We start from the raw sequence: 13,735 nt of genomic DNA on the forward strand, positions 1-13,735 counted from the left end.
TGGGCAACAAGAGTGAAACTCTGCCTCAAAAAAAAAAAGGAAAGATACGTAAATAAAGTTACATTACTTAAAGATAAATGTTCTGCCAATTTTTATTTGGATTTTTTTTAAGGCCAAAGAAGATGTTGAAGAACACCTGCTTTAAAATTTTCTGGGCTAAAATTATCACAGCTGTACCTTATGGCAAAGTTGCCAGTTTATCTGTGTGCTGGCATGACCTCAGAATTTTGGGGTGCAGGATACAGAATTTGTAATCCTGATGAGAACTAAGGCCCATGGTTTGCCTCTGTGCAGAGGTGTGGCATGTCACTCCAGTTTGCCATTCTCTCCTAGTCCTCTGCCTCCATGACCTCTGTGGAATTCATACTGGTCTTATCTGCCTGTACCTGTTAGGATTGTTCAGAGCTCTGGAGGGGATTCCTCCCTGGCCCACACTTCCTGCCCGGGGAGGGCCTTTATTACTGTGTTTATGTGTACACAGCCCCATGTTTGTCTTTGGTCTCTCCCAGTTGCTCTAGTCCAGGCCTCACCTGCAGTCACTTGAAAGTCTGCTTTTTTTTAGTTTTTTGGAGTTTTTTTTGAGACGAAGTCTTGCTCTGTCATCCAGGCTGGAGTGTAGTGGCACGATCTCGGCTCACTGCAACCTCTGCCTCCCAGGTTCAAGCGATTCTTGTGCCTCAGCATTCCGAGTAGCTGGGGGGCTATATGCATGCGCCACCATGTCCAGCTAATTTTTGTATATATATATATATATATATTTTTTTTTAGTAGCAATGGGGTTTCACCATGTTGGCTAGATTGGTCTCGAACTCCTGACCTCAGGTGATCTGCCTGCCTCAGCCTCCCAAAGTGCTGGGATTACATAAGGGGTGAGCCACCCCACCTGGCCCAAAAGTCTTTATATCACCAATGTGGGGGCAGGTGGATTCAGGCCGTTACCTTTGAGGTTCCAGAATCGGGACCCGAGCCGCGGCCCCTGGATCTTAGGCCAAGACTCAGGTCACTGAATTTCTGATCTGGAAGGAACCAGGGAGGTCCCCTCCAGCACTGGCAAACTGTTCTCTAGGCCCCATCCCCACTTAGCCAGAGCTGCTGCCTGTGTTCTGCTCCATGGGTTAGGGCGTCCCTGAAAAGTTTCCTTTGAAGAGAGTTTTGCTGCTCAAAAGTCAGAAAGCCTTAGACCTCATTTTATAGACATGAAAGAAAACCGAAGCCCAAAGAATTCAGGGACTGTGCCCAAGGTCACACAGCTAGCTGGCCAGGCCCCTTCCATACTCCTGCCACAATCCTACGCTGACCCCTGGCCCTAGGGTCAGGACTCCGAGCCATGGATAGGGTGAGGGAAAGGTCAGTGTGTGCCAGCTTGACCCTCGCAGGGGCCCATCCCTGCCTGGGGCTGCCCTGGGGCGGCTCTGCCTTGGTGGACCGTGCTGGGGCAGGGGCGAGGGAGTGGACTCTGGGCCAGTTTGTACAGACCTGCTCTGAGAAGAGAAGCCAGCCTAGGGAGGCTGGGGCTTCCTCTGTCCAAAAGGTAATTAATGAGGAGCAGCTTGGGCAGCCAGCCCTCATTGTAGCCCTGCAATGCAGCCTTCGAAGACAGCCCCACCAGGAGAGCGTGGGAAACCTTTGTCATGCAGATCCTGCTGCCTGTTTGTTTGCCACCCTGGGATTTTTCTTTCCTGTTATATATGGCTGACCCTGTGGCTAAGCAGTAAAAAAAGCAAAAGCAAAAGAAAGTTATCTGACAATAGATCAATACCTAATTAAAGCCAGAGGGAAGGCATGAAAGATTTATAGTTGCCCTGGAAGGGGAGGAGGACTTGGGAGTCCTCAGTTCATGACAGGTTTTTTTTGTTTTTGTTTTTGTTTTTGAGAGATTACATCCCCCTTGAGACCAAGAATTGGTTGTGGGGACTCTCTTTCTTGAAGGAGCTCAGTGAGTAGGGGAGGCCTTGATGGAGGTGGGGGCAGGGGAGGTGGAGGAGTTTATCAGGGGGCTCTGCTGCCAGGTCCTTGGGTGCTCTGGTTGCTGGGCTGGGCCCAGCCTCCTCCTAAGTCCGTGGATCTTGCACCCTATACAGCCTGCAGAATTTGGCTTTCTGCCTGTCCCTCCTTTCTCCAGCAGCTAATTGGCTCTTGAGCCCCTGGGCATTTTCCAGTGGTAATTTCTGCACACTCACCCAGGCCAGCCACCTCTCATCCTCTGAGCCCTGGGCTCTACCTCCTAGTTATTTTTAGTCTCCCATGTCCTCCCTTGGAAGACAAAGCATTGATCACACTTAAATGAGACCAGAACAATAAATTTCCCCTCTTTTCTTTGCTCAGCTTCCCTCCCAGGACAAAAGTTTGTCATCCCCCAGACCAAGCCTCGCATACCCTTCCTTTCCCCCAGAGGGTATGACATCATCTCTCTCTCTTCCCCATGACTTTTCAAGGACATGTTTCCTCCAAAGGAGCCCCACTGGAGAGATGCTGTTGGCCTTTTGTGATTTAGCTGGGCTGGAGGAAGGGTGGACGTAACCCTAAGCAGTTTTCTAGATGCTGTTGAACAGAGGGAGAGATGGAAGAAGGTGGAGGTTAACCTCTGGGCCAGTTTGGGGCGTGGCTGCTAGAGAGGCCAAGAGTGCAGGCTTTGGTCAAGAACACGGGTGGGTTTTGCATCAGGCAGACCCAGATGCAAATCCTGGTTCCGGCACTTCCTACCAGGAGACTCTGGGCTTAGTCTCCTCATCTCAGGAATGAGGCTACTGGCGCCTGCCTCAGAGGGCTGTCTTGAGGATTGAAGGGAAGAAAGTCTGTAAAATGTTTGCTTGGTATCCGTGTCACCTAGGTGGCAGCTGTTTCTTCAATAACTACTGCTACTATTTTTGTTATGGTTCCAGAACCCTGACATAGCACCATGTCAGGCAGACATTGGATTGAGAGGCAGATAATCCAGGTAGAAGTCTGAATTTTACTTTGGGCAGGACACTTCCCTCTTTGAGTCAAAGAATCAAATGGTTCTTTCAGCCAGAAATTAATCCTCTAAGAAATGCACTGGAGGCAGGGCTCTGTGGCTCACACCTGTAACCCCAGAACTTTGGAAGGCTGAGGCAAGAGGATTGCTTGAGTCCAGGAATTTGAGACCAGCCTGGGCAACATAGTAAGACTCTGTCTCTACTAAGAAAAATACAAAAATTAGCTGGGCATTGTGGCGCACGACTGTAGTTCCAGCTACTTGGGAAGCTGGGGCAGGAGGATCACTTGAGCCCGGGGGTCAAGGCTGTAGTGAGCTGATCGTGCCACTGCACTCCAGCCTAAGTGACAGAGTTAGACCTTGTCTCAAAAAGAAAGAAAGAAAGAAAAGGAAAGGAAGGAAGGGAGGGAGGGAGGGAGAGGGAGGGGAGGGGAGGGGAATCTCCCTGGCAACATGGACTCAAAGGAGGAAGAGGTGGAGCGTCTTGCTCTGGAGTCTTAGCACGGAGCCTGCAGAATCCAAGGCCTGGGGCTGGGTTGGGTGAGCCGAGTCCCGCACTCCTGAGAATTCTCGCTGTCTTTCTGTACTAGGGTCCTTGGCAGTGTCTGTGGCTGACATGACCGCTCCAGTCGTGGGCTCTTCTGGAGGGGTGTATGCTCTCGTCTCTGCCCATCTGGCCAACATTGTCATGGTGAGCACCTCCCGTTCTCAATGTGTCTTTCTGGCCCTGTCCTCTGCCATCACTGGGCCTGAGTATTAATCCACTGGGGCTGGCTCACCAAAAACCAGGCAGACCTGACCTGGAGCAGAGTTCTCACACACTCCTCACCCTCTGCAGGCCCATTTCAAATGAGCGCCTTCCAGATGCGATTCCTATTTTCTCCAGTCACGGCTTGGCCTAGGACCATGCCCATCTGCCCCTTCTGCCTCTTTCCCATTCACCAACGTTAAAGAGTTAACATTTGGTACCATCCTGGCTAACGCGGTGAAACCCCATCTCTACTAAAAATACAAAAAATTAGCCAGGCGTGGTGGCATGCGCCTGTAGTCCCAGCTACTCGGGAGGCTGAGGCAGGAGAATGGCATGAACCCAGGAGGTGGAGCTTGCAGTGAGCCGAGATCGCGCCACTGCACTCCAGCCTGGGGGAGAGAGTGAGATTCTTTCTCAAAAAAAAAAAAAATTTGGTCACTAGCATATATGGCCATTGGAATTGCTTATTTATCATAGGTTGTTAAAAATACAAGGGCTTTAGAGATTATCTCATCAAAATTCTCAAATAGGAAAGGAGGCTGTGAGAGGTTAAGTGACTTGTCCAAAGTCACAGTCAAGTTTGTGGCAAAATGAGGGCTTAAACCCGTATCTCCTGACAACCATTCAAGAGTCATTTCCCGGCCAGGCACAGTGGCTCATGCCTGTAATCCCAGCACTTTGGGAGGCCAAGGCAGGCGGATCATGAGGTCAAGAGATCGAGACCATCCTGGCCAACATGGTGAAACCCCATCTCTACTAAAAAAATACCAAAATTAGCTGGGCGTGGTGGCACGCTCCTGTAGTCCCAGCTACTTGGGAGGCTGAGGCAAGAGAATTGCTTGAACCCGGGAGGCGGAGGTTGCAGTGAGCCGAGATCGCACCACTGCACTCCAGCCTGGGTGACAGAGCGAGACTCCGTCTCAAAAAAAACAGTTGTTCCCCTATCCCAGTCTGTCATGGGAGGGGGGCACCACTCCATTTCTCACCCTCTGCCTTTTCCTGAAAGGTAGTACAGTGTGATAGTGAAGAACATGGTCTTTGGAGCCAGTCAGCCTAGGTCTAAATCCCTGCTACACTCTGGGCAAATTACTTAACTGCTTTGCACCTCACTTTCTACATCTGTGAAATGGAATGGGAGCTGGGCACAGTGGCTCAGGACTGTAATCCCAGCACTTTGAGAGGCTGAGGTGGGCAGATTGCATTGAGTTCAGGAGTTCAAGACCAGCCCAGGCAACATGGTGAAACTCCATCTCTATAAAAAATACAAAAATTAGCTGGGCACGGTGGTGCATGGCTATAGTCCCAGCTACTCCAGAGGCTGTGGCTGGAGAATCAGTTGAGCCTGGGAAGCAGAGGTTACAGTGAGCAGAGATTGCACCACTGCACACCAGCCTGGGAAACAGAGTGAGACCCTGTCTCAATTTAAAGAAAAGAAAAGAAAAGTAATAGAATGACATACAGTAAATGAAATAAAGTGCAAATAACCACCTATATAAATGTAAATTTAATTTCCTTCTCCTGACAGAAGAGGCCAGGATGGGGTCAGACTAGACAAAGCCTTGAAGGCCAGAAATTGGGATCTGATAGTCTTAGAGGATATCAAAATCCTTTTTTTGGAGGCGGTCTGAAGTCTGAAGGCTGATGGAGGAGTCAGTGGCTAACCCTGCCCGATCCCTCTGCTGGCCTGGGAGCCTCCGGGTCTTACTTGTCTATTTCCCAGTACCTGGCATATGGCTGGGAGCATGGTAGATGGTGCCCACTAGATTTTAGTGAATGAAGGAAGGAAGGCATAGCTTTTCTTTGGGGTCCTCCTGTTCTCACCCACTCCTCCATCAGTGTCTTCGCCCACGTGGCAGATGTTTGAATGCTCAATGATCACAGTGCACAGGGCTTGGCGTTCCTGAATTATCCCATGTTTTTCTTCCTTATCAATCTCTCTGTCACCCACCCTGCTCCCAACCCTGTCCCTTTTGTTCTCATCAAAATGCCCATTGTACATTGAGCAAGAGAAGAAAGAGCACAAGAGGGAGGGGAAAAGAAAGGAAGAGAGGGGGAGAGATAGACAGACACTGAGTACCTGCCTATACTTGCTACTGGCCTGAATTTTGGCACCTTCAGGTGAGTGCTCAGAGAGAGGCTGCGGGTGTTGGGAAACGTGGAACGGTGAGCCTCTCAGTGTGTGTGTGCAGGTGTGTTTGCACATGCACACACTTCAGTTTGTTGAAAACCTGAGTGCATGGGCTGCCTCCCATGGCCCTTTTAAATGGGTCATTCTGTATCAGTGCCACATCTTTCCCCAGACACAGCTTTTCCTCTGAATTCTGCCTCCTCCACTCCCCCCTCCCCCTGCCCCAATTCCTTTCAGTAGGGGAAGGAAATGCTAACCTCCTCCCTCCCATTCCGCCCAAGACTTGTATGTGTGTAGGGGTGGTGAACAAGCTCAACTGAAAGAGAACACAGGGAGGAAGAAGCACGCTGGCATTCATAACGATGCCCTGTTCCCACCCTCTTCCCCACCTCATGGGAAACAGCCCTGATGGCCCAGAAGTTCCCATGGTGAAGGCAGACCACTGAAGGACCATGGAGTAGGGCACGTTTGTCGAGAGAGGTGTGAGAGCAGTTTTGTTCCAGTTGATGCTTCTCTCTGTCAAGTAGCCCATGGCCTGCCGCTGTGGAGATGAGCAGCCTCATCTGAGAGCCCCGTGCCTTCCAGAAGCAAACGGCTTTCCTTGGCCAACTGGGAGCTGTGCAGTCCCCAGAGCATGACACATGGGGAGCCCTTCTCCAGGAGGTTGTGTGGGTTGGGCGCGCTGGCTCACACCTGTAATCCCAGCACTTTGGGAGGTCAACACAGGCAGATCACTTAAGCCCAGGAGTTCAAGACCAGCCTGGGCAACATCTCTACCCACCTCTACCAAAAATACAAAAAATTATCCTGGTGTGGTGTCATGCACCTGTGGTTCCAGCTACTCTGGAGGCTGAGGTGAGATCACCTGTGGTTCCAGCTACTCTGGAGGCTGGCTGAGATCACCTGAGCCAGAGAGGCAGCGGGCAGTGAGCTGAGATTGCATCACTGCACTCCAGCCAGGGCAACAGAGTGAAGCCCTGTCTCAAAAAAAAGAAAGAAAGAAAGTTATGTGGTGTTTATTGACGATGAAAGAAAACTCATCGTCTCATTAAAAAGGCTGGTTTCTCTTTGTCAAGAGGCTACCTTTACTCAAATTAGTTCAGTGCTAAGCAGTTCAGAGATGCGTTGGGTCGACCCATATGAAATGGCCCTTTCTGGCTGGGCACAGTGGCTCACGCCTGTAATCCCAGCACTTTGGGAGGCCGAGGCGGGTGGATCACGAGGTCAGGAGTTCAAGACCAGCCTGACCAACATGGTGAAACCCCGTTTCTACTAAAAACACCAAAATTAGCCAGGTGTGGTGGTACGTGCCTATAATCCCAGCTACTCAGGAAGCTGAGGCAGTAGAATCACTTGAACCTAGGAGGCAGAGGTTGCAGTGAGCCGAGATCACACCATTGCACTCTAGCCTGGGTGACAGAGAGAGAGAGACCCTGTCTCAAAAAAAAATTGCCCTTTCTATGGGCCATCAGCATTTGAATATTGGCAAATTCATATCGTTCTACCTAATAGATATACTATTGTTTTCAGCTTCAAAATGAAGGTTTGGAGTGTGTGTGTGTGTGTGTGTGTGTGTGTGTGTGTGTGAGATACACAGTAAAGTACCTCATCAGAACTAAAAGTAGAAAAAGCATGGACTTGGGCTGGGCGCGGTGGCTCACGCCTGTAATCCCGGCACTTTGGGAGGGCGAGGCAGGCGGATCAACTGAGGTTGGGAGTTTGCGACCAGCCTGACCAACATGGAGAAACCCCGTCTCTACTAAAAATACAAAATTAGCTGGGTGTGGTGGTGCATACCTGTAATCCCAGCTACTCGGGAGGCTGAGGCAGGAGAATTGTTTGAACCCAGGAGGTGGAGGTTGTGGTGAGCCGAGATCACGCCATTGCACTCCAACCTGGGCAACAAGAGCGAAACTCTGTCTCAAAAAAGAAAAGAAAAAGCATGGACTTGAGAGAAAATCCACATTTGAGTACCAATGTCACCATCTTAATAGCTATGAGTCTATTACTCAACTTCTTGGAGCCCCAGTTGTCTCATCGGTAATCCCATCTTCACAAAACAGTTGTTTGGGAGATGAAAAAATGGACAAAATATTTCAACAAAAGATCTGGAATGCAAAAAGCCCTATAATCAAGACTTCTTTTTTTTTTTTTTTTTTTTTTTTTTTGAGACAGGGTTTCGCTGTGTCACCCAGGCTGGAGTGCAATGGGGTGATCTCGGGTCACCACAACCTCCACCTCCTGGGTTCAAGCGATCCTCTTGCCTCAGCCCCCCGAGTAGCTGGGACCACGGGCTCGTGCCACCATGCCTAGCTAACCATGTTGCCCAGGCTGGTCTCGAACTCCTGAACTCAAGTGATCCACCCACCTCAGCCTCCCAAAATGCTGGGATTACAGGCGTGAGCCACCATGCCCCGCCAAGACTTCTTATTTTAAACACTAGAAATATACAGATACACCTAATTGAATAATTTATTAATTGCCTCCTGCTGGCCAGAGTTCCATTTTTTAATCTACAAGATATTTACTTACACTTCGCTCTGTATGATTGATGTTTTCCCAAAATGTTTGAGGTCTGAATTTTCACAAACTGAACCACATTGTCAAAGCACAAGGGAAGATGGTTGCCTAACAGACACTAAAGATTTCTGTTATAAAGTTTACTTTATTGGCCGGGCGTGGTGGCTCATGCCTGTAATCCCTGCACTTTGGGAGGCCGAGGTGGGCAGATCACGAGGTCAGGAGATCAAGACCATCCTGGCTAATACGTGAAACCCCATATCTACTAAAAAATACAAAAAACTGGCTGGTGCGGTGGCTCATGCCTGTAATCTCAGCACTTTGGGAGGCTGAGGCAGGCGGATCACAAGGTCAGGAGTTCGAGACCAGCCTGGCCAATATGGTGAAACCCCATCTCAACTAAAAATACAAAAATTAGGTGGGCGTGGTGGCAGGTGCCTGTAGTCCCAGCTACTCAGAAGGCTGAGGCAGAAGAATCGCTTGAACTCGGGAGGCGGAGGTTGCAGTGAGCCAAGATCGTGCCACTGCACTCCAGCCTGGGCGACAGATAGAGACTCCGTCTAAAAAAAATATATATATAAAAAATTAGCCAGGCGTGGTGGCGGGCACCTGTGGTCCCAGCTACTCAGGATGCTGAGGCAGGAGAATGGCTTGAAACTGGGAGGCAGAGCTTGCAGTGAGCCGAGATCACACCACTGCACTTCAGCCTGGGCGACAGAGTCAGGCTCCATCTCAAAAAAAAAAAAAAAAAAAAGGTTTACTTTATTAAGGAAAAATATTTTTGTAGGACAAAGAATCAACTCCCTAATTTATCTGCGTCATACTTTCACATTCCCTGTGTTGGGTTTTCTTGAAGTCATTTCACAAGAAACCGTTTCTACCAGGGATAGATATAGAAAGCTGTATTGGAATGGAAGCTCCCTGCCTGGCTTTCAGCCTCTGCACTCTTAACCCGTTTGGGTGAGCAAGATGCTGAGGGGACTGGTTACCAACTTGTTCGCTGTGGGTGAGTACTATCTCACTCTTTGAGGCTCTGGGAGAATGAAATTAAAGGGCCTGCAAAAGGTTTGTATTCCCCAAAGATCTGCAGGCTTTCCAGCTTTTATAGCAGCAGCAGTGCTGGCTGCATGTGAGATTTTTTTTCTTCTCTCCCGTTGTTTCAGTGCACTGATTTTATTGGCGGGAATATTGGATTAGGGAAGTAAGGCAGCTGGTTGGAAGCGGGGACTCTCTAGTTTAACCCCTCGGCTGCTGGGAGGCAGGTCATATTTACTGGCGTTTTTTCGCTCCATTTGTGGGCAGCTGGGACAGACGGCCCAGGCACATGGAATGTGACCTCTGAAGTGTGGGTGGACAGAGCCCTGGACCAGGAGCCCAGTCAGCTCACCATTCACTCACTGTGACCTTGAACCAGCCCTCCTGAATCCTCAGTTTCTTCTTCCCTAAAGTGTGCGGCAGAGGGATGGACTGGATCAGCTTGGCAAGCTCCAGGGCTTTCAGGGTCCAGGCAGATGTTGTAAACTCATAAAGCGGGCCTGGGAGGTGCTGTGGCAAAACTGGAGTCATTCAGATTCAGATTTTTTCAAGCCACTCTGCAGGGCAAACTCCCCGTCTTTGTCTCAGGTCAAGATACTGTCACACATTTAGATGATGCCTACTGTGTGCCAGGCAGTGGTCTTAGTGCTTTACATATATTAATTCATTTCATTCTCACAACCACCTGATGAGGTGGGGAACTGAGATAAGGGGCAGTTGTTATCTCAAATTCACAAATGAAAATGACAGAGAAGAAGGAATTCTGAGCCACCCCACTGATGGCCAACCAGGCCAAAAATAAGGATGGCGCATTTAACATCTATCCCAGATAGGGCCCAGGAGGGGCATGGAGGCTGGAGACCTCAGATAAAGGAGAGAGCTGTCCATACATTCTAACTTACTTTGCCTGATATTATCACTCAGGACATAGTGAAAGAGACACTGTCTTCAGATAAGATATTCACTTAGGCCAGGCTTGGTGGCTCACGCCCTACAATCCCAGCACTTTGGGAGGCCGAGGAAGGTGAATTGCTCGAGCCCAGGAGTTCTGAACCAGCCTGGGCAACATAGGGAGACCCCATCTCTACAAAAATTTAAAAATTAGCCGGGTGTGGTACAGTGTGCCTACAGTCCCAGCTAGTTGGGAGGCTGAGGTGGGAGGATCACTTGAGCCCAGAAGGTCAAGGCTGCAGTGAGTCGTGATCATGCCACTTCACTCCAGCCTGGGCAATAGAGTAAGACCCTGTCTCAAAAGGAAAAAAAAGAAAAATAATAAGATATTTACTCAGAGGGGGCCGAGCACAAATGGCTCATGCCTGTAATCCCAGCACTTTTTGTTTTGTTGTTGTTTTGAGACAGAGTCTCACCCTTTGCCCAGGCTGGAGTACAGTGGCGCAATATCGTCTCACTGCAGCCTCCACCTCCCAGGTTCAAGCAATTCTTGTGCCTCAGCCTCCAGAGTAGCTGGGGTTACAGGCATGTACCACCACACCCAGCTAATTTTTTTATATGTTTAGTAGAGATGGGGTTTTGCTGTTTGCCAGGCTGGTCTTGAGCTCCTGGCCTCAAGTGATCCGCCTGCGTCAGCCTCCCAAAGTGCTGGGATTACAGGCCTGAGCCACCACACCTGGCCTGTTGTTTTTGAGAAAGGGTCTCACTCTGTTGTCCAGGCCAGAGTGTGCTGGTGCAATTTCAGCTCACTGCAACCTCCACCTCCTGGGCTCAAGCGATCATCCCACCTCAGCCTCCTGAGTAGCTGGCACTACAAGTGCACACCACCACGCCCAGCTAATTTTTTATAGAGGCAGGGTTTCGCCATGTTGCCCATGCTGGTCTCGAACTCTCAGGCTCAAGCATTCCTCCTGCCTTGGCCTCTCCCAAAGCACTGGGATTACAGGCGTGAGCACCTAGCCTGTAATCCCAGCACTTTGGGAGGCCGAGGCTGGAGGACCACTTGAGGCCAGGAGTTCAAGACCAACCTGACAACATAGTGAAGTTCCATATCTACAAAAAATAAAAAATTTAGCCAGGTGTGGTGGCACATGCCCATAATCCTAGCTACCTGGGAAGCTGGGGCAGGAGGATTACTTGAGCCCAGGAGTTTGAGGCTGCAGTGAGCTATGATTGCATTGCTGCATTCCAGCCTGGTTGGCAGAGTGAAACCCTGTCTCTTAAAAAGTCTTCTGTACTTTTGCTTTTAATTGTGATAAATGTACATACCATAAAATGTACCATCTTAAAGTATACAGTTACATTTTAAATGTACAGTTCAATGGCATTAAGTACATTCATACATTCACATTGTACAATCATCGCCATCTGTCTCCAGAACTCTTTTCATCTTACAAAACTGAAACTCTGTACCCACTAAACAATGACTCCCCACCCCCTCCTCCCTCCAGCCCCTGGCAACCACCATTCTACTTTCTGTCTCCATGAATTTAATTACTCTATACTTCATCTAAGTGGAATCATACAGTATTTAGCTTTCTGTGACTGCCTTATTTCACTTAGCGTAAGGTCCTCCAGGTTTATTCATGCTGTAACATGGGTCAGAATTCCCTCCCTTTTTTTTTTTTTTTTTTTTTTTTGAGACGAGTCTCACTCTGTCGTCCAGGCTGGAGTGCAGTGGTGTGATCTCGGCTCACTGCAAGCTCTGCCTCCCGAGTTCACGCCATTCACCTGCCTCAACCTCCAGAGTAGCTGGGACTACAGGCACCTGCCACCATGCCCAGCTAATTTTTTTGTATTTTTAGTAGAGACGGGATTTCACCATGTTAGCCAGGATGGTCTCGATCTCCTTTGACTTTCTGATCTGTCCGACTCGGCCTCCCAAAGTGCTGGGATTATAGGCGTGAGCCACCGCCTTTTAAAGGCTGAATTGTATTCCATTGTATGTATATATCAGCAGGTGACAACGTTATCCTGCCATCTGCTTCTTAGCTTGGAACATGAAGATTAGTGAAGATTAGACTTTCTACCTAAAAAGGGAAGGCAGGTGGCTCACCTCACCTTCTGTGAAGAAGGGGTGGCCGGTCAGTGAGGAAGAGTCAGGGAAGGGAGGAGGTGGGCAAGAAACCAAATATATAGACATATGTATGTATATTTCATGTATCCATCCATCCATAGACACTGGGGTGGCTTCCGTGTCTTGCCTATGGTGAATAATGCTGCTATGAACATGGGTATCGCTTTTTTTTATTTTTATTTTTTTTGAGACGGAGTCTGGCTCAAGTAATCCACCCGCCTCAGCCTCCCAAAGTGCTGGGATTACAGGCATGAGCCACCGCGCCCAGCCGGGTATCACCTTTAAGGGAGAATTGAAATCCATGGAGGGGACATTATAGGGAAGGAAAGCCTGGCAAACAACAGCAAGAAGAACCGTTAGGGGTGAGAGCCCTTCCCAGGGCTCCCAGGGAGACAGGGAGCACCCCATCACGTGGGCTGGAGGGCCATCTTGTTGGCTACTTGGCAGTGGGTGTCCGCCTTTGGGAAGAGATGTCCCATTAGATGATTCCCAAGTTTCCTCCCATCCTAGGGTTTCAGCTTGAAGAGGGGGCTGCGGTGCCCACCATCTGCTAACTGAGCCAGCTCAGATTGGGTCGCTAGATTCAGGGGAGGGCACTGACTCCTGTTTTCTTCCTCGTCTCCTGGCAAGGCTCCTCTGTGGGCAGACACCAGCAGATGACACCGATATCCTGCCATCTGCTTCCTAGCATGGAACATGTCGGCAAGCGAAGACAGGCTTTCCACCTAAAGCGGGACCGCAGGTGGCCCACACTTCACTTTCTGTGAAGAAGGGGTTGCTGGTCAGTGAGGAAGGATGGGGAGAAGGGAGGAGGTGGGCAAGAACTGAAGGCTGTGAGGATTTCCCCCTCTTTGGCATGTGCTCTGTGTCCTGCTTGCTTGACTGAAGTGTTCATAGATGTTAGTGTCCATGCCAGTGTTCAGGGCCTCTGTAAAGTTACACGGATGTTCCTGCAACCTCAAAGAAGTGCCACACGTGCCCCCGAGCTGGGCCTGGGCCAGGCAGCAAAGGCAGATTGGGTGGTGGGAGGAAACCAAAGTCCCCTGGTTGTGCCCTCCTTCCCTGGGGCTTATGTGTTCCAGGAAGATTCCGGGCTTATTTCTGTGCACGCGCACCTCTGTATAAATGGAATAGTGCTTTGAATGCACTGCAGGAGTGCCTCTCAAAGGAATCCTGTGGTGAAGTCTTTTGTAAAGTGAAAAGTCCTTTTGTAAAGCGAATAATTGTACTGTTTATCTGCTTTGGAGGTTCCGAGTTTTCCAAGATTCTCAGGGGAGAGAGGGAGTTGTTTGAAGGCCACCTGGCCCACCCCCTCTC

The 13,735-nt window shown here is 49.6% G+C and overlaps 1 protein-coding gene across 15 annotated transcripts in view, besides 2 other annotated features; it reads left to right on the plus strand.

Moving 5' to 3' along the window:
• The window catches only part of RHBDL3 (rhomboid like 3), a 58,830-nt gene that overhangs the window by 35,963 nt on the left and 9,132 nt on the right, over positions 1–13,735 (plus strand). For 7 of the 15 annotated variants that reach the window (XR_001752439.2, XM_047435507.1, NM_138328.3 and 4 more), the window contains one exon: positions 3,547–3,647. The exons of the other annotated variants lie outside the window; for them this stretch is intronic. Coding sequence is in view for 6 of the 7 variants with exons in the window: in XM_047435507.1 (XP_047291463.1) it covers positions 3,547–3,647 (101 nt within the window). In the remaining variant the exon portion in view is untranslated. The remainder of the gene's footprint in view (positions 1–3,546; positions 3,648–13,735) is intronic. 15 annotated transcript variants of the gene reach the window in all.
• Positions 731–1,604: an enhancer, noted in NCBI's record as "OCT4-NANOG-H3K27ac-H3K4me1 hESC enhancer chr17:30629544-30630417 (GRCh37/hg19 assembly coordinates)". NCBI's record gives its function as "activates a minimal SCP1, AML or CMV promoter by ChIP-STARR-seq in primed H9 embryonic stem cells {active_cell/tissue: H9 hESC(primed)}" and the evidence as "EXISTENCE:reporter gene assay evidence [ECO:0000049][PMID:30033119]".
• Positions 1,605–2,477: an enhancer, noted in NCBI's record as "OCT4-NANOG-H3K27ac-H3K4me1 hESC enhancer chr17:30630418-30631290 (GRCh37/hg19 assembly coordinates)". NCBI's record gives its function as "activates a minimal SCP1, AML or CMV promoter by ChIP-STARR-seq in primed H9 embryonic stem cells {active_cell/tissue: H9 hESC(primed)}" and the evidence as "EXISTENCE:reporter gene assay evidence [ECO:0000049][PMID:30033119]".

The sequence above is a fragment of the Homo sapiens genome, chromosome 17, assembly GCF_000001405.40.
Source record: "Homo sapiens chromosome 17, GRCh38.p14 Primary Assembly".
Classification (NCBI taxonomy): domain Eukaryota; kingdom Metazoa; phylum Chordata; class Mammalia; order Primates; family Hominidae; genus Homo; species Homo sapiens.